Raw genomic sequence first — 20,684 nt, 5'->3', positions numbered from 1 at the left:
GGGAGGACAAGATGGGTGGATCACATGAGACCAGGAGTTCAAGACCAGCCTGGCCAACATGGTGAAACCCCACCTCTACTAAAAATGCAAAATTAGCTGGGCATGGTGGTGTATGCCTGTAGTGGCAGCTACTCAGGAAGCTGAGTCACAGTAATTGCTTGAACCTAGGAGGCAGAGGTTGCAGTGAGCTGAGATTGCGCCCAGCTTGGGTGACAGAGCAAGACTCTGTCTTAGAAAAAAAAAAAAGAAGAAAAAAAATGAGCTGTGCATGGTGGCGCATGCTTATAGTCTTAGCTACTTGGGAGGCTGAGGTAGGAGGATTGCTTGAGCCCGAGAGGTCAAGGCTACAGTGAGCTGTGATCCTACCACTGCACCCCAGCCTGGGCGACAGAGCAAGACCTTGCTAAAAATTAAAAAAAAAAAAAAAAAAGGTGGGAGGTGGGTTTTGAGGTCAGGTACGGTAGCTCACACCTGTAATCCCAGCACTTTGGGAGGCAAAGGTGGGAGGATCACTTCAGGCCAGGAGGTCAAGACCAGCCTGAGCAACATAGCAAGATCCTATCTCTACAAAAAACTTTAAAACTTAGCTGGATGTGGGCTGGGCACAGTGGCTCATGCCTGCAATCCCAACACTTTGGGAGGCTGAGGCAGGCGGATCACGAGGTCAGGAGATTGAGACCATCCTAGCTAACACAGTGAAACCCCGTGTCTACTAAAAATACAAAAAATTAGCTGGGCGTGGTGGTGCATCGCTGTAGTCCCAGCTACTCGGGAGGCTGAGGCAGGACAATCACTTGAACCTGGGAGGCAGAGGTTGCAGTGAGCCGAGATCACGCCACTGCACTCCAGCCTGGGCAATAGAGCGAAACCCCGTCTTAAAAAAAAAAAAAAACTTAGCTGGATGTGGTAGCCTGCCCCTGTAGTCCTAGCTACTTGGGAGGCTGAGGTGGGAGAATCACTTGAGTCCAGGAGTTTAAGGTTACAGTGAGCTGTGATCCTGCCACTGCACTCCACCCTAGATGACATAGTGAGACTTTGTCCCAAAAAAATAAAAAAACAGTTTTGGTACAATAGTTAGTAGCTGATTCTTAGGGGATAGGGTGCAAAATGGGCCCTCCTCATGTGAAACACTACCCTATGGTTAACAGTGCTGCCCAGGCACGGTGACTCACGCCTGTAATCCCAGCACTTTGGGAGGCTGAAGTGGGTGGATCACCTGAGGTCAGGGGTTCAAGACCAGCCCAGCCAACATGGTGAAACCCTGTCTCCACTAAAAATATAAAAATTAGCCAGGCGTGGTGGCAGGCGCCTGTAATTCCAGCTACTGGGGAGTCTGAGGCAGGAGAATCGCTTGAACTCAAGAGGTGGAGGTTGCCGTGAGCCAAGATTGCGCCATTGCAACCAGCCTGGGCGACAAGAGTGATACTGTCTCAGAAAAAAAGAGTACTATAGGCTGGGCACGGTGGCTCATGCCTGTAATTCCAGCACTTTGGGAGGCCGAGGCGGGCGGATCACCTGAGGTCGGGAGTTCAAGACCAGCCTGACCAACATGGAAAAACCCTGTCTCTACTAAAAAGACAAAATTAGCAGGGCATGGTGGCGCATGCCTGTAATCCCAGCTACTTGGGAGGCTGAGGCAGGAGAATCGCTTGAACCCGGGAGGCAGAGGTTGCAGTGAGCCAAGATTGCGCCATTGCACTCCAGCCTGGGCAACAAGAGTGAAACTCCGTCTTAAAAAAAAAAAAAAAAGAATACTATAATGAGGCCTCACTGTGTAATACTGGGGAATCCCCACAGAGCACAGCTGGTGGCAAGAGCATACATACATTTTGAAGTCTGCCTTGAGTTCAAATTTCAGCCCCACTATTTAATATTCTGTGAGTCATCTGACCACCCTGGGGTTACTAAGTTTCTGCATCTGAAATACTGAGGTAATAATATCTACATCCTAAAGTTGTGTGAATTAGTGTGAAAGGGTAAAGCACCTGGCATATCGTAGGTACTCAGTAAATTAGTCACTTTTCCTCCTTTGAATTGTTTTTCCTTCTTTGAATTATGTTTTGCCTGTCCTTTTATGTGGGAATATCACAATGAATCAACATGTATGAATAAGAAACAAATGAATAATGTATATTCACTGTAATCACACTTGCTCAAGTGGAAAATTTAGTGAGGATATGTTCATTTATTTTAGACAAATTTAAATAGAAGAGACAAAGACACCCCCCTGGACCCATCAATGGCCACCCTGATTCTGCCTAAGAATAAAGGGAGAATGCAGGTACTTCACCTAATATACTGTATATACTTATATGCCAGTGATTAATTTTAATTAGTTCTCAAATGTATTATGTGATTTGGAGGGCGGTGATGCACAGTCCAGTTTTACCTTCTCGGATTCGTTCTGCGCAGGTGAACATCTAAGGCATTTTGCACCCTCAGGCTACAGTTACCACTGACCATTCAGTACCAAGTTTTGTGAATTGTTTGCTTTTTTAAAAGAGTAAGTTTTAGGCCGGGCACAGTGGCTCATGCCTGTAATCCCAGCACTTTGGGAGGCCAAGGCAGGCAGATGATTTGAGGTCAGGAGTTCAAGACCAGCCTGGCCAACATGGTGAAACCCCATCTCTATTAAAAAATACAAAAATTAGTTGGGCATGGTGGTGTGTGCCTGTAATCCCAGCTACTGGAGAGGCTGAGGCAGGAGAATCGCTTGAACCCGGGAGGCAGAGGTTGCAGTGAGCTGAGATCGTGCCATTGCACTCCAGCCTGGGTGACAGAGTGCGACTCCGTCTAAAAAAAAAAAAAAAAGTGAACGAGTAAGTTTGGTCAGGTGCAGTGGCTCACACCTGTAATCCAAGCACTTTAGGAGGCTGAGGCGAGTGGATCACCTGAGGTTAGGAGTTCCAGTTCAAGACCAGCCTGGCCAACATGGCCAAACCCTGTCTCAACTAAAAATATAAAAATTAGCTGGGTGTAGTGGTGCATGCTTATAACCCCAGCTACTCGGGAGGCTGAGGCAGGAGAATCACTTGAACCCAGGAGGCAGAGTTTGCAGTGAACCAAGATTGCACCACGGCACTCCAGCCTGGGTGACAGAGTGAGACTCTTTCTCAAAATAAATAAATAAATAAAATATAAAAACTTTAAAAAAAGAGTAAGTTTGAATGAATTCATATTTATCCCTATAATAACATTCATCATGCTCATTTGCACTCACATGTTTTTTCCTGAAAGGGAGGAAAAAAGAGGTGGTGAGGCCAGGCGCGGTGGCTTATGCCTGTAATCCCAGCACTTTGGGAGGCCGAGGTGGGCGGATAACCTGAGGTCAGGAGTTCGAGACCAGCCTGGCCAACATGGTGAAACCCTGTCTCTACTAAAAACCAAAAAATTAGCCAGGTGTGGTGGCACACGCCTGTAGTCCCAGCTACTTGGAAGGCTGAGGCAGGAGGATCACTTGAACCCGGAGGTGGAGGTTGCAGTGAGCAGAGATCGCACCACTGCAGCCTGGGCGACAGAGTGAGACTCTGTCTCCAAAAAAAAAAAAGGTGGCAAAACAGCTAGTAAGCTGTTGTTTCTAATAGCCCAGGGAATGTGTACAGGAGGGTGTTGTTCACATGAGTCTGGGTAAAACACAGGTTGAGAATCAGTGGATTATGTTAGGTGTACTAGATATAGAGTAGATGGTTCTCCCAATGGATGGAGTCCCTGCTGTCTTCCCAAGTCTGTTGCTTGGGAATTCTTGCACTGATGCTCTCATTTACCTATCAGTGTCTTCTAGTGTCTACTATGTGCAAGGCCCTTAAAAGACATGAAGACAAGATCCTCTAGGAGTGACAAGACTGATAGTCCAATCACCATATTATGACAGAAAATGAAGAGCGGCGAAAAGATAGGCTTAAATAAAGTCAAATTAAAGAGAGTTTCAGTCCTGACAGACTAATCAAGAATGAGCTTGTCCTCTTTCTTCACTTAGCATTCATTGCTGGAAGGCTATGAGTAGCAAAAACCATATCCCAGAACTGAAACATACTAATTAGGTTGTAACATATAACCATGAATTCAGTTAAATCCAGTGTAGTGGATGAATGTTATCCAAACCTTTATCTTTAGTTCATTTTCTTAAAAAAAAATTTTTTTTTTTGAGACAGGGTCTTGCTCTGTCGCCCAGGCTGGAGTGCAGTGGCATGATCTTGGCTCACTGCAACCTCTGCCTGCCAGGCTCAAGCGATTATCCCACCTCATATTTTCTTAAAATTTATAGTGTGATACTTGTGTAACAGAGATGTGGGTATTTAATTTCTATAACATGTCAGATAAACATAATTGAAAAAAATGAGGCAATCTGCCACCTTGACAGATTGTTTTTCTATTTTTTTGTGTAATGTTTCTAGACAGCTTATAAAATGCAGTCCTTCTGCTTTTGGGGGCAATTAAAATGTTGCCCATGTTGGCCGGCGTGGTGGCTCACGCCTGTAATCCCAGCACTTTGGGAGGCCAAGGCAGGAGGATCACTTGAGGTCAGGAGTTTGAGACCAGCCTGGGCAAAATGGCGAAACCCCATCTCTACTAAAAATACAAAAAAATTAGCTGGGTGTGGTGGTGCACGCCTGTAGTCCCAGCTCCTCGGGAGGCTGAGGCAGGAGAATTGCTTGAGCCCAGAAGGCAGAGGTTGCAGTGAGCTGAGATTGTGCCATTGCACTCCAGCCAGAGCAACAGAGCAAGACTCCATCTCAAAAAAAAAAAAAAATGTGTCTCATGTTGACCTTGATTTGGCTAAGGGACCAGGACAAATGCTCAATTCACCTCTGTTCTGTAACATTGTCAACTACTTTTATATTTGGGGAAGAAATGCAAATATTTCTCACCAGCTCCTTGTAAAGCCAACCCCAACCCTAACTACATATTTGGAAATGGCAAAATAAACTGAATTCAACTTTTTAAAATCTTATTTGCACAGAATAAGAAGCCAGGCTTTACAGTATCATGCTCTCCAAAGAGAACCATAAACTCCAGCCAAGAGCCAGCTCCAGGTATGAAGCCAAACTGGCCTAGGAGCAGATATCCTGCCACAAAGAGAGGCTGTGCTGCCATGGCGGCATACCCATCCTTGCACATATACACATACCCGTAGGTGAGCCTGGGCTGTGCCACACAAGCACTTCATCGGGGGTTTTGAGATTAGACACATTTTATAATGGGGGAGATGTATGACTGGGAACTGCATTTACTTGTGGTATACTGTGTTGTGCACTCATGCACTGACCTTACACTTTGTACTTACACTGTGGGCATGTGGTCAAGATGCATACCTCATGAATTCAACTATTTTTTCATAAAATGAAATTTTATTATGATGTGTAAAAATGCTTTATCAGAAACTGAAGTGTGTTCTCATGGCACACTTCATGGCAGCACAGATATACCTCATTTTAACCAATAGATATTCTCTCTAAAATTATGTGCAAATCAATTTTTAAAAATCAAAATCTATGTTAAACACATTTTGGCAGTGTGCTATAATAAAAAAAAGTGTTGTGTCAAAGCTTTCTAGTGACGGTCAGTCCTACTGCTGTATGTCAGGTTTGCTCACAATGAGGTATTCCCACATAGAAATAACAATGCATGTATTACCCAGAATTTAATGTTGCGTACCTTATGTTCAATGAGGTTTTGTAATTTTTTTAGGCTGATGATTAAAATTCTTTCTCTCTAACCAGTTGTTTCCTTTGATTGGTTAACTGCATAATTTTATGTGAACAGATATTTTTTATCCGCCTTTTCTTTCCAATAGCCTCTCCTGAGCACCAAGCAAAGTCGGCCAGCTGCAGCCTGTCATGTCAACACGCTGGAGTCATTTACAGGGGTGGTCACTCCAGCTCATGCTAGGAGCCCTATTTTGACTACTTTTTTTCTATCACATGGGATTGAAAGTTTTCTAGCACATTTTTCATTATCACTTTTAAACTTTCAGCCACCATCACTACCTGGATTACTAGTGATTAGAACCACATGACAACACAAATTTTATTGCAATCCTAGTGTAGGAGTATTTTAAAAATATTTTAGAACAGTTTTAGATTTACAGACAAATTGAGCAGAGAGTACAGAGAGGTCCTAGGTGCAGCTACCCTCAATCTGTGAGTCTTTTTAAGGGCAATATCAGCCCATACTTTTTTTTTTTTTTTGAGATGGAGTCTTGCTCTGTCACCCAGGTTGGAGTGCAGTGGGGCAATCTTGGCTCACTGCAACCTTCGCCTCCCTGGTTCAAGCAATTCTCCTGCCTCAGCCTCCTGAGTAGCTGGGATTACAGGCGCCACCACCACACCTGGCTAATTTTTGTATTTTTAGTACAGACTGAGTTTCACCATGTTGGCCAGGCTGATCTCGAACTCCTGACCTCGTGATCCTCCCACCTTGGCCTCCCAAAGTGCTGGGATTACAGGCATGAGCCACCATGCCTGGCCCCCATACTCTTTATATAGGGAGTTTGCAAATGGCCTTCTCCTATGCCGCACCTTACATACATCCTAAAACTATTAGCATTTTAAGTATCTAGAAAGCACCCAGCCAAAACCCCACTTTTTATCCCTAAAAGGATATCCTTAAAGGACAAGTCCCAAAAGCAAACCTTGTTTGAAAGTTGTTCAGAAATTCAGCCGGCAGCCTTTGGGAGGCCAAGGCGGGTGGATCAGTTGAGGCCAGGAGTTCGAAACCAGCCTGGCCAACATGGTGAAACCCTGTCTCTACTAAAAATACAAAAATCAGCAGTGTGTGGTGGTGTGTGCCTGTAATCCCAGCTACTCTGGAGGCTGAGGCAGGAGAATAGCTTGAACCCAGGAGGCAGAGGGTGCAGTGAGCCACCTGGCCTATGAACATGGTTTCTTTCGAAGCCTTACTCTTTGGACCACAGGGCCTAATGAAGGTCCTATCACCATCTGGTGGCAGCATATCTTTGTTTTTGGAGAGAGGACAACATCTCTTGAAAGTGAGATAGGCCAGGCATGGTGGTTCATGCCTGTAATCCCAGCACTTTGGGAGGCTGAGGCAAGTGGATCCATTGAGCCCAGCAGTACGAGACCAGTCTTGGCAACGTGGTGAAACCCTGTCTCTAGCAAAAAAATACAAAAATAGCCGGGTGTGGTGGCACATGCCTGTAGTCCCAACTACCCTGGAGGCTGGGGTGGGAGGATCACTTTAGCCCAGGAGGTGGAGGTTGCAGTGAACTGAGATCATGCCACTGTACTCCAGCCTGGGTGAGAGTGAGACTCTGTCTTTAAAAAAAAAAAAAGACTGGGTCATGCCTGTAATCCCAGTACTTTGGGCTGAGGCAGGTGGATCACGAGGTCAGGAGTTCAAGACCAGCCTGGCCAAGATGGTGAAACCCTGTCTGTACAAAAAATGCAAAAATTAGCCAGGTGTGGTGGCAGGGGCCTGTAATCCCAGCTACTCAGGAGGCTGAGGCAGAGAATTGCTTGAACCCGAGAGGTGGAGGTTGCAGTGAGCCGAGATTGTGCCACTGCACTCCAGCCTGGGCAACAGAGCGAGAGTCCTTCTCAAAAAAAAAAAAAAAAAAAAAAAAAAAGGTGCATTGAGCAGTGATTTACTTAGGAACTATGGAGAACTGCCCCTGTGTTTAAAACCTAGATGGAGAACAAAGACTAGTAGGCAAAACAAAGCAGTCAGATGTTTTGCTAGGTTCAGAACATTGTAGTGAGTTAAAGAGCCACCAATGTGGCATTTAGAACACCTGAGTTTGAATCCCACAGAGGCTGGGGGCAAGTAGGCATGGGGCAGTTGCTTAATAGCTCTGCACTTTTACTACCCGACCTTAAAAGTGAAAGGTGAAATGATCTCTAAGGTCCCTTCATTTGACCACTACTCTTAGCTGTTGATCATACATTGCAATAATGTGCTTTAAACAGTTTCCCTCTTCAGCCTGAGCTAGCTAGGTCTTCTCTCCCTCAATCTCTGGTCTTTGGGGAAACAAGACCTCTTTGGTTGCTCTGAGTACAGTTCTTCTCATCTTGTCGCTAACCAATTTTGATACATGCTGGCCGGGTGCGGTGGCTCATGCCTGTAATCCTAGCACTTTGGGAGGCCGAGGCGGGCGGATCACCTGAGGTTGCGAGTTTGAGACCAGCCTGACCAACATGGAGAAACCCCGTCTCTACTAAAAATACAAAAAATTAGCATGGTGGCACATGCCTGTAATCCCAGCTACTCGGGAGGCTGAGGCAGGAGAATCGCTTGAACCCAGGAGGCGGAGGTTTTGGTGAGCCGAAATCACGCCATTGCACTCCAGCCTGAGCAACAAGAGCGAAACACGGTCTCAAGAAAAATAAAATAAAATAAAATAAAATAAAGATAGATGCCATCTCTCCTCATAGCCCCCTGAACTGCTATTCCTAGATTATTGGATTTAGTGACCAGAAATCACATGAATAAACCCCTTCACAGCTCCAGTCATTCCCCTTTCTCTTGGCTTCATTTCTTCCCCAATTCAGCCCAGACTCCAGGGTTCGTGACATCAACCATTCTCTTGCCAGCACCCCAGTGTCCTCACACTCTGTCCTTCTGCCACATCCACCTGGTAGTTCCCCAACTTTGGATCAGCCAGTCATCTCAGCCATCTGTCTTCTCTACTGTACCCAGGCTGCCAAGATGGCTTCGGGAAAATATGCCATCAAGTGGTCCTGGGCCAGCACACAAGTATCTCCTTCAGCCTTGGAAATTTATCTTCTGCTTCTGAAACTGAAGTTCCCGCACCTTTCCCCCTCCGTGGCTATTTCACACCTCCATTTCAAGTCTCTTGCTCCCTCTCTGCTGCCACCTTCCTCCGAGCAAACAGCCATACTAGTCAAGACTGGTTCAGAAGCTAGGCTCCCGTGAGGCAGGGGTAGGAAGATAACTTCAAACAAATTCTGAAGTCTCTTTGGTAGGTTTGTTTATGTAATGGCATTGGCAAATCAATTCTGAAACATTTTAGACATATTATATGCTTGAACAAATGAATAAATGTGTTGATGTTGTTGAAAGCCAAGAACTCATTATTTCTTTCCTTTTTTTTTTTTTTTTTGAGACGGAGTTTTGCTCTTGTTGCCCAGGCTGGAGTGGAGTGGCACAATCTCGGCTCACTGCAACCTCCACCTCCTGGGTTCCAGTGATTCTCCTGCTTCAGCCTCCCAAGTAGCTGGGATTACAGGTGCCCACCACCACACCCAGCTAATTTTTTTTTTTTTTTTGTATTTTTAGTAGAGACGGGGTTTCATCATGTTGGCCAGGCTGGTCTTGAACTCCTGACCTCAGAACTCCACCTGCTTCAGCCTCCCAAAGTGCTGGGATTATGGGCATGAGCCACTGCACCTGGCCAGAACTCATGATTTCTAAAACATGTATATGTCTGAACATACACATGTATGTATACACAAGTATGTATGTGCATGTGTGTATGCATATTCATATATGTAGATAATGTGTGTATGTGTATTCAGCTGTATCTGCTAAAAAGGGCTAAAATCAAATACATCCCATTAGCAATAAGAACATTTTGCACTGAGATCTTGGTCTCTAATACATTCCTCACTAAAAGGAATCAGGGTTCATTAGAGAAATGTCTGGGGCAATGTGGATATGAGATGAGGAGCCTGAAATGTTGTGTTATGTCAAAAAGTAAAAAAGTGCTGGGGGCATGTCACAGGATAAAGGAACCAACTTTAAGGAGCTCCCACTGGCCAAATCTGGGATATTAGGGCACCAAAATGATTAAGGACATTAATAAACTATAACCCATTGAAAAAATAGGAATCATGAGTTCATATCAATGAGAGAGAAAGAGAGGAAGAGCGCTCTTGTTTAAGAAGAATGAAGCTGAGGTCGATGGTGAATGTAGAAGTAGTGCTGCAATTGGGAATTCATTATTTTGCAATTATTGTAGTAAAATGGATCAGGCAAGAAGTACCTATGGATGCAAAATTTAGGAGGAAACTTGAGGAGCAAGATAATTGCATGGTTTTAAAGTGTCTCCACTCAGATTGCTTATTAGTTGGAAGGGAAAAAGTAGTGACTGTATAATAGGGCAATTGGACACCACCTTAACAGTGTGATTGTTTAGGGACAGATGGACATTCTGTGCCCTCTGATGGAAAGCCTGAGACGAACACATCACTTAAGTAGTATTCTGGTTGGAAATGCATATCTTGAATCTAATCATGAAAAAACATCAGATAAAACAAAAATAAGGAACATTCTGCCAAAAAGAATCTAGACTCTGGCATCAGGATGCCTGGGCTCAAAGGCTGACTCCATAGCTTTATGACCTTAGGCTTTATGACCTCTCAAAGATTCAATTTCCTCATCTGTAAAATGGGAACACAAACAAGACACACTTTTCAGAATTGTTGGGAGGACCGGACAAGAAAATGTATATAATGCACTTAGTAGAGTGCTCTACACACAGAAAACACTCGGGAGTGGTGAGCTGGCATCACTCTTGTCCACCCTTACTTCTGTTCCGTTCCTTTGTTCTATTTTTTTGAGACAGTCTTGTTCTGTCACCAAGGCTGGAGTGCAATGGCACCATCTCCGCTCATTGCATCTTCTGCCTCCGAGGTTCAAGTGATCCTTATGCCTCAGCCTCCCAAGTAGCGGGATTACAGCCACGTGCCACCATGCCTGGCTAATTTTTATATTTTTAGTAGAGACAGGGTTTCACCATGTTGGCCAGTCTGATCTTGAACTCCTGACCTCAAGTGATCTGCCTACCTCAGCCTCCCAAAGTGCTGGGATTACAGGTGTGAGCCACCATGCCCGCCCTCTTTCCTTTGTTCTTAGAGAAAAAAAAGTGCCCAACTTTGGGTTTAAGGCTAATCTCTCCACCTTATGCTTCAATTCAGTCTCTCTATTTTCCCAAACTTTCTGCATTGCTTTACCCCCTCTTGTCTTTCTCCTTCCCTACCAGCAACTTCGCTGTGGCCTCAAAACATGCCAGGCTTCTTCCATATTTAAAGAAAGAACATGCAGGCCAGGCACCGTGGCTCACACCTGTAATCCCAGCACTTTGGGAGACCGAGGTGGGTGTATCGCCTGAGATCAGGAGTTCGAGACCAGCCTGGCCAACATGGTGAAACCCGTCTTTACTAAAAATACAAAAATTAGCTGGGTGTAGTGACAGGTGCCTGTAATCCCAGCTACTCAGGAGGCTGAGGCAGGAGAATCGCTTGAACCAGGGAGGTGGAGGTTGCAGCGAGCCGAGATCACACCATTGCACTCCAGCCTGGGCGACAAGAGCAAGACTTCATCTCAAAAAAGAAAAAAAAGAAAAAAAAAAAAAGAACATGCCTTCTGATCAGTTGTGAATAAATAAATATAAAGAAAGTGCAGGCCGAGCACAGTGGCTCACACCTGTAATCCCAGCACTTTGGGAGGCCAAGGCAGGCGGATCAAGAGGTTAGGAGTTCGAGATCAGCCTGGCCAACATGGTGAAACCCCCGTCTCTACTAAAAATACAAAAATTAGCTGGGCATGGTGGCAGGAGGTGGAAAGTGCAGTGAGCCGAGATCACACCACTGCACTCCAGCCTGGGCAACAGAGCGAGACTCCATCTCAAAATAAATAAATAAATAAATAAATAACTTGAGACTGGGTAGTTTATAAAGAAAAGAGGTTTGAGCCGGGCACAGTGGCTCACGCCTGTAATACCAGCACTTTGGGACGCCAAGGCAGGCAGATCACCTGAGGTCGGGAGTTCAAAACCAGCCTGACCAACATGGAGAAACCCCATCTCTACTAAAAATACAAAAATTAGCCAGGCATGGTGGTGCGCACCTGTAATCCCAGCTACTTCGGAGGTTGAGGCAGGAGAATCACTTTAATCCAGGATGCAGAAGTTGCAGTGAGCCAAGATCGAGCCATTGCACTCCAGCCTGGGTGACAGAGTAAGACTCTGTCTCAAAAAAATAAAGTGTCTTCCTAAATTCTGCAAACCGTTCTAGTGTTGACAAAAAGAGCCAAACTTTATGTAATATTTGAAGAGATTTATTCTGAGCCATATATGAGGACCATGACCCATGACACAGCCTCAGGAGGTCCTTATGTGGTTCACAGCCACATGTGCCCAAGGTGGTTGCATTACAGCTTGATATTAGGGGGACAGAAGTTATAGGCAGACATCAATCAATACATATGGGGTGCCGGCTCAGTGGCTCATGCCTGTAATTCCAGCATTTTGGGAAGCCAAGACGGGAGGATTGCTTAAGGCCAGGAGTGTGAGACCAGCCAGCCCAACATGGCCAAACCCTGTCTCTACTAAAATGCAAACAATCAGCTGGGCATGGTGACACGTGCCTGTAGTCCCAGCTACTTGGGAGGTTGAGGAAGGAGAATCACTTGAACCCGGGAGGTGAAAGCTGCAGTGAGCCAAGATCACACCACTGCACTCTGCGTGGGCAACAGAACAAGACTCTGTCTCAACAACAACAACAACAACAAAATGTGGGGTATACATTGGTCCAGAAAAGCAGGACAACTCAAACTGGGGAGAGGGAAGTGCTTCCAGGTCATAGGTGGATTCAGAGATTTTCTGATTGGCAATTGGTTGAAAGAGTTATTATATAGACAGATCTGGAATAAAAGTTTTTATTATGTAGATAAATTGTATGTAGTTTTATTATGTAGATGAAGTCTCATAGGTGGCCACCCTTAGAGGCAATAGGTGGCAAATGTTTCCCATTCAGACTTTTAAAAGGTGCTAGATAGGCGGGGCATGGTGGCTCATGCCTGTAATCCCAGCACTTTGGGAGGCCGAGGCAGGCGGATCATGAGGTCAGGAGTTTGAGACAAGCCTGTCCAACATGGTGAAACCCCATCTCTACTAAGGGAGGAGAATCGCTTGAACTGGGGAGGTGGAGGTTGTGGTGAGCTGAGATGGTGCCATTGCACTCCAGCCTGGGCAACAAGAGTGAAACTCTATCTCAAAAAAAAAAAAAAAAAAGAGGTTTAATTGGCTCAGCTCTGTAGGCTTTACAGGAAGTATGATGCTGGCATCTGCTCAACTTCTAGGGAGGCCTCAGGGAGCTTACAATCATGTAGGAAGGCGAAGGAGGAACATCACATAGCAAAAGCAGGATTGAGAGAGAGAGAGGGAGGGGGAGGTGCCACATAATTTTAAATGACTAGCTCTCATGAGGACTCAATTATCACGAAGACAGCACCAAGCCATGAGGGATCCGCCCCCATGATCCAAACACCTCCCGCCAGGCTGCACCTCCAGCATCCATGGTCATAATTCAACATGACATTTGCACAGGGATAAATGTCCAAACTATATCAGGGGTTTTATTTTTAGTTTACACTAGCAAATTATCAAACCTTAGGAGAGGACTGTGGAAACCCTGATTTATAACCAGTTGGGCATAAAGGTCTTTATAAAAGGGAGGCAGGAGGATCAGACTCAGAAAAAGGACATGTGAATGATCCAGGATTTATGCTCCTTAGTTCAGCTAAATCTGGGTTCTTGTCTCATGACCAGGAAAAATTAGGCATGTGGCCACATTGAAGAATAGAATAGAATTTATTAAACGAAGGGAAAGCTTTCAGCAAGGAGAGGGGTCCTACAAAACAGTTTCCACTTCACAACTGAATACAAGGGCTCCCACACATGAGCTGAAGAGGCAAGGCTCCTCTCCAGCATACAGCATGAAATCCTAGTAGCTCCACCCTGATCCCCCCAGTGCGCATTCGGGCATGCCCACACAAGCCATGGGTAGTATCAGAAAGGCAACATTCAATTGGTTGAAAGGCATTATTCAGAGACAATCAATAGGGAAAGGGCGAACAAACAAGGGCAGAAGATCTCCCTGTGGGTTGCAGGTTTCATCTGGAACAAGCAGTCCGGTCTTTTAGCCTTCAGGCTGTTTTAGGCTTGAAGGTGGGGTTTTCACCAGGGACCCTTCCCTATCTGCCCAGGCATTTGTCTGCCTCCTGCCTCTATCATGAAGACAGAAGAGGTTGAACTGATGCCCTTTGAAGTTGGAGGAAGTGGCCAGAAGGCAAGGAATGCAGATGGCCTCTGGAAGCTTGAAAAGGGAAAGACACAGTTTCTCCTCTGGAAACTGCGGAAGGAATAGCGCCTTGGCAACACCTTGATTTTAACCCTTTAAGACTCATTTCAGGCCAGGCATGGAAGCTTATGCTGGTAATCCCAGACTTTGGGAGGCCAAGTCGGGTGGCTCACCTGAGGTCTGGAGTTCGAGACCAGCCTGGCCAAAATGGCGAAACCCCGTCTGTACTAAAAATACAAAAATCAGCCAGGTGTGGTGGCAGGCCCCTGTAATCACAGCTATTCGGGAGGCTGAGGCAGGAGAATCACTTGAACCCAGGAGGCGGAGGTTGCAGTAAGCCGAGATTGCGCCACTGCACTCCAGACTGGGTGACAGAGCGAAACTCCATCTCAAAAAAAAAAAAAAAAAAAGACTCATTTCAGGCAGGGTGCAGTGGCTCAGGCCTGTAATCCCAGCACTTTGGGAGGCCGAGGTGGGAGGATTGCCTGAGCCCAGGAGTTCGAGACCAGCCTGGTCAACATGGTGAAACCCTCTCTAGTAAAAATACAACAATTAGCCAGGCATGGTGCTGCACGCCTGTAATCCCAGCTACTCAGGTGGCTGAGGCAGGAGAATTGCTCGAACCCGGGAGGCGGAGGTTGCAGTGAGCTGAGATCATGCCACTGCACTCCAGCCTGGGTGACAGAGTGAGACTCCATCTCAAAAAAAGAAAAAATAAAGACTCATTTCAGATTTCTGACCTCCATAATGGTATGATAATAAATTTGTGTTGTTTTAACCCACTAAGTTTGTGGTAATATTCACAGCAGCGAAAGGAAATTAACAGCACTTAAATATTACAAAAAAATAGACCAGGCACAGTGGCTCACGCCTGTAATCCCAACATTTTGGGAGGCCAAGGTGGGCGGATCACGAGGTCAGGAGGTCAGGAGTTCGAGACCAGCCTGGCCAACATAGTGAAACCATGTTTCTACTAAAAATACAAAAATTAGCTGGGCATGGTGGCACACACCTGTAGTCCCAGCTACTCAGGTGGCTGAGGCAGGAGAATCGCTTGAACCCAGGAGGTGGAGGCTGTGATGAGCCGAGATTGCGCCAGTGCACTCCAGCCTGGGCAACAGAGCAAGACTCCATCTCAAAAAAATATATGTTTTTACAAAAAAAATCAATATGATATTTTGAAAATGAGATCACTGAGGTCCATTCTGGAAACTGGTCAGGGTGTACTAAAGAAATAAACCGCATACTTCATAAGGCCAGGGCATAAAGAAGGGTGGCATCATTTACACCTTTGGCAAAATGAGACTTAAGGTGCCCCAGTGTCGTGTGGGAGATCCTAAGTCTGTGTTGAAAACAATGACTGAGGCTGGGCACTGTGGCTCACGACTGTAATCCCAGCACTTTGGGAGGCCGAGGCAGGCGGATCACCTGAGGTCAGGAGTTCGAGACCAGCCTGACCAACCTGGAGAAACCTCGTCTCTTCTAAAAGTACAAAATTAGCCGGGTGTGGTGGCACACACCTACAATCCCAGCTACTCGGGAGGCTGAGGCAGGAGAATTGCTTGAACCTGGGAGGTTGTGGTGGGCCCAGATCATGCCATTGCACTCCAGCCTGGGCAACAAGAGCAAAACTCTGTCTCAAAAAAACAAAAAAGAAAAAAAGAAAACAAGGACCGATGCCAAGAAGGAGAATAATTTTTGCCTTTCCTCCAGTTCTCAGGATTGGAATCCAAAGACAGCATCCACGACTGTGCTGCCAGGCAACATGTTCTTTGTCATTTTTCAGACTTCTCTAGCGAACAAAGATAGGAAAGTAATGTTGAAAGGCTAGTGGAACCCTAACCAAACCAGAAAAATTTGCTATGCTTGAAAAGGAAAAGGGAAAATACTTTCCAAATATGGCTCCCAAGCTGAGATATTTGAAATAAATCTCTAAAGCACACAGATTTTGTGCAAGAGATGGGCTTCTCATGACACTATGCAGGGGAACTATACTTTTCAAAGGATGTTCTCTCTAAGGAACTGTTTTACATGCAAGATAACAGTTTTATTTTTTATTTTATTTATTGATTGATTTTTGGAGACAGAGTCTCACTCTGTCACCCAGGCTGGAGTGCAGTGACTTGATCTTGGCTCAACGCAACCTCTGCCTCCCGGGTTCAAACGATTCTCCTGCCTCAGCCTCCTGAGTAGCTCAGACTGCAGGTGTGTGCCACCATGCCCAGCTAATTTTTTTGTATTTTAGTAGAGTCAAGGTTTCATTGTGTTGGCCAGGCTGGTCTCAAACTCCTGAGCTCAGGTGATCCTCCCACCTTGGCCTCCCAAAGTGCTAGGATTACATGCATGAGCCACCGCGCCCGGCAAGACAATATAGATACTTCTTAGGAAGCTCGAGAAGGACAGGAGGAAAATGTAAGGCCAGCAAAGAGAGTTTGCCTATCCCTTTAGCTGGGTGACCCTTTTCAGTCATTCTAAGACAAATTGAACTTAAGTTGGTGGAAAGAACCCGAGAACCCCAGCTGTCAGGACTTCCCTTCCTTTCGTAGATATTGTGGTCGGCTCCCTAGCAACCCAGATCCTTAGGCAGGACAGGATTTCTCCACAAGTATAGTACTGATGTCTCCAGATACAGGGGTCAAGGGAAGGCCCCTTTGCCCTCTGAAGTTTTGCTGAAAAATCAACTCAAAAAAGGCAGATTAACTGGAAAAAAAAGGCATAGAAATTTATTGACATTAGCATGGTGTGAATCACAGAGTGATTGTCCACCCCTCTAGGTGGTTCAGAAGTTAATATACCATCCTAGAAAAACAGGTTGTAGGAGGGGGAAGAAGAGGAATTTGCTGTTGTTTTGAGACAGGGTCTTGCTCTGTTGCCCAGGCTGGAGTGCAGTGGCACGATCATGGCTCACTGCAGCGGCACGATCATGGCTCACAGCAGCGGCACGATCATGGCTCACTGCAGCTTCAACCTCCCTGGCAATCTTTCCACCTCAGCCTCCTAAGTCACTGGGACTACAAGCACACACCGACAAGCCCAGTTAATTTTTTCTTCTCCTTCTTTTTTTTTTTTTTTTTTTTGAGACGGAGTCTTGCTGTTTTGCCCAGGCCGGAGTGCAGTGTCGCAATCTCAGCTCACTGCAAGCTCCGCTTCCCAGTTTCCCAGCATTCTCCTGCCTCAGCCTCCCAAGTTGCTGGGACTACAGGTGCCTACCACCACACCCGGCTAATTTTTTTGTATTTTTAGTAGAGATGGGGTTTCACCGTGTTAGCCAGGATGTTCTCGATCTTCTGACCTTGTGATCCACCCGCCTCGGCCTCCCAAAGTGTTGGGATTACAGGCGTCAGCCACCGCGCCCGGCCTATTTTTTCTATTTTTTTGTAGAGCCAGGTGTCACTATGTTGCCCAGGCTGGTTTTGAACTACTGGACTCAAACAGTCCTCCTGCCTAGGCCTCCTAAAGTGCTGGGATTACAGGCGTGAGCCACTACGCCCGGCCAGGGTAAAGGTTTTGGGAGAGATTATAGGAGGGTGAAAGCCAGGGAGACCTTGATGCTTTTTCAGTTCAGTATGTCAAAATACCATACATTTTGGGGTATTGGTTTTGGAGCCCTAACACAGACTTTGATAAGTATCCCCTGAGGGCCAAAATTAACCCTGTTGAGAACCACTAGTCTAAGCCAATCATTGGTTTAGGTGGTGGTGGGTGACTCCTGTCCAGTAATTCATGAGAATTCTGCTGGGGAGGTTTCTGAGAAAAGGTTTCTTCCTCCAAAAAGAGCCAATTTGAGAGCCAGGCATGGTGGCTCATGCCTGTAATCCCAGCACTTTGGGAAGTTGAGGCGGGCGGATCATCGAGGTCGGGAGATCGAGACCATCTTGGCTAATACAGTGAAACCCCGTCTCTACTACAAAAAAAAAAATTAGCCAGGCATGGTGGCACATTCCTATAGTCCCAGCTACTTAAGAGGAGGAGGCAGGAGAATCGCTTGAATCTGGGAACAGAGGTTGCAGTGAGCCGAGATCGTGCCATTCCACTCCAGCTTGGGTGACAACGTGAGACTCCGTCTCAAAAAAAAAAAAAAAAAAAAAAGAGCCATTTTGTGATGAGCTTTGGTGTGCCAAAAAAGAGAGAACTATTTTTAAAAAGACACCTTCTCGAAGGCTGGACGCGGTGACTCACACCTGTAATCCCAGCACTTTGGAAGGCCAAGGCAGGCAGATCACCTGAGGTTGGGAGTTCGAGACCAGCCTGACCAACATGGCAAAACCCCGTCTCTACTAAAAATAACAAAAATTAGCTGGGCGTGGTGTTGGGCGCCTGTAATCCCAGCGACTCGGGAGGCTGAGGCAACCTCCTTGAACCCGGGAGGCGGAGGTTGCAGTGAGCCAAGATCACACCATTGCACTGCAGCGTGGTCAACAAGAGTGAAACTCTGTCTCAAAAAAACAAAAACAGAAACAAAAACCCTTCTCTCTTCTTCCTCTGACTATCAGTGTTGCATATGAGGCTCAAAACTATTTTGATACCGGCCTAAGGAGGAAGAGCACAGGGATGGAAAGAATCTAGGTATTTGGTAAGACTCTTGTGTCACAGCCTCATCCAACTCAGAAGGCTCCTTGAACTCAGGTCTTCCTATAAGGCAAAATAAATATAATAAATATATGCCGGCTGGGTAAGCTGGTTCATGCCTGTAATCCCAGCACTTTGGGAGGCCGAGGTGGGAGGGTCACTTGAGCACAGAAGTTCAAGACCAGCCTGGACAGCCTTGGACCAGGTTAGGATTAAGACAGGGGCTTGAATTTTGCTAAGATACAGGCCCAGTTAAACGATAGCTAGTCATTATTCTGGCGATCACGAGATATAGGAGTAACTTTCCCAATTACTCCTATAGATAACATCACTATTGTACAACTTAAGATTGGCCTTTTACGACGTTTTTCAATTACTTGAGGTTTTTTGGTCTTTTTATTTTTCTCCTTTTTGTGGAAAATGGGGTCTTGCTGTGTTGCCCAGGCAGGTCTCAAACTATCCTCCCACCTCTGCCTGAAATGCTGGGATTACAGACGTAAACCATCACACCTGGCAGAGATAACATCACTAACATAGAATCTAAGATTGCCTTTTTGAGATGTTTTGGTGGCTACTGACTCCACTCAGACCCACCACTCATGACATCTGGTCCTGTGGCCTCCATCCAGAGGCTGTCAAGGACCGCTTTCTATACCCCTATGATTTCATCCCCAACCAATCAACATTCCCCATTTGAGCCCCCTGCCACCAAAGCATCCTTGAAAAACCCTCACCTCTGAGCCGTCGGGGAGAGTGATTTGAGCGATAACTTAAGTTCTTCCACATGGCCCACACTGTGTTAATTAAACTCTTTCTTTACTGTAATGCCACAGTCTCAGTGAACTGATTTTGTCTGTGCAGCAGGCAGGAAGAACCCACTGGACAATTACGTGATCTCTCTCCCAAGTCAGACCGCCTCCCAGTCCAGGAGACTTTTTTTTTTTTCTTCAAGACAGGCTCTTACTCTGTCCCCCAGGCTGGAGTGCAGTGGTACAATCTCGGTTCACTGTAACCTCTGCTTCCCAGGCTCGAGCAATCCTCCCACCTCAGCCTCCTAAGAAGCTGAGACTACAGGTGCAAGCCACCATGCTCAATTAATTTTTTTTTCTTTTTTGCAGAGACGGGGTTTCACTATGTTGCCCAGGCTGGTCTCAAACTCCCGAGCTCAAAGCAATCCACCCAAGTGCTGGGATTACAGGCATGTGCCCTGCTCCCAAGAGGCTTTTAACTGGTAAATCCATTCAGCCTTCCCTGGGCTTCATTTTTTTCTGAGATGGAGTTTCACTCTTGTTGCCCAGGCTGGAGTGCAATGGCATGATCTCGGCTCACTGCAACCTCCGCCTCCCGGGTTCAAGCGATTCTCCTGCCTCAGCCTCCCGAGTACCTGGGATTATAGGCATGTGTCACCACGCCCGGCTAATTTTGTTTTTTAGTAGAGATGGGTTATCTCCATGTTGGTCAGGCTGGTCTTGAACTCCTGACCTCAGGTGATCCGCCCACCTCAGCCTCCCAAAGTGCTGGGATTACAGGCGTGAGCCACCGCGCCCGGCTTCTGGGCTTCATTATTGACCTCTTGGAAGCTTTTGACATATTGACTATCCTTTCTTTTTCCAAACTTTTCTGTTGACTTCAGTGACATGCTGTTCTAGTTCTGTTTCCTTCCCAGTTAATTCTGCCCCTTTTGACTTCCGTTATTCCTCTCACCACTGCAATATGGGTCAGCAAATATAACCCATCTTAGGGTCATCATACTGAACTGTATCAGGGAATGCCATTCAGATCATAGTCTTTGTGACTGGCCCCACTCTGAGTTATGCAGTGCACAGCCTAGGCAGCTGTACATAGCACCTCTTCCCTTATCTATACTGCTGACTTCGGTTACCTATTCTCTGCAGATTCTTCCCAAAACCTCATCAGCAGCTTCTGCCTCACACCATTGGAAAATATTGTGGAGCAGACTGAATCCCCCAACCACCCACCCCTGGCAAGAGGCTCTGTGCCTCCCCATGCTCACTAGCATCAGTGGGACAAGGCAATATTATTTGGCACCATCAA

The 20,684-nt window shown here is 46.1% G+C and overlaps 1 protein-coding gene across 1 annotated transcript in view; it reads left to right on the top strand.

Annotated features, from left to right (window-relative positions):
* AGBL2 (AGBL carboxypeptidase 2) overlaps positions 1 to 5,716 on the top strand; it is a 55,779-nt gene extending 50,063 nt beyond the window's left edge. Inside the window, exons 18-19 of the mRNA NM_024783.4 lie at positions 2,195 to 2,281; positions 4,961 to 5,716. Of these exons, the coding sequence (NP_079059.2) occupies positions 2,195 to 2,281; positions 4,961 to 5,134 (261 nt within the window). The 3' untranslated portion in view covers positions 5,135 to 5,716. The remainder of the gene's footprint in view (positions 1 to 2,194; positions 2,282 to 4,960) is intronic.
* Positions 5,717 to 20,684: the final 14,968 nt, after the last annotated feature.

The sequence above is a fragment of the Homo sapiens genome, chromosome 11 (genome assembly GCF_000001405.40).
Source record: "Homo sapiens chromosome 11, GRCh38.p14 Primary Assembly".
Taxonomy (NCBI): Eukaryota; Metazoa; Chordata; class Mammalia; order Primates; family Hominidae; genus Homo; species Homo sapiens.
The sequence above is the reverse complement of the archived record's forward strand: the minus strand, read 5'-3'. Positions and strand labels throughout refer to the sequence as shown.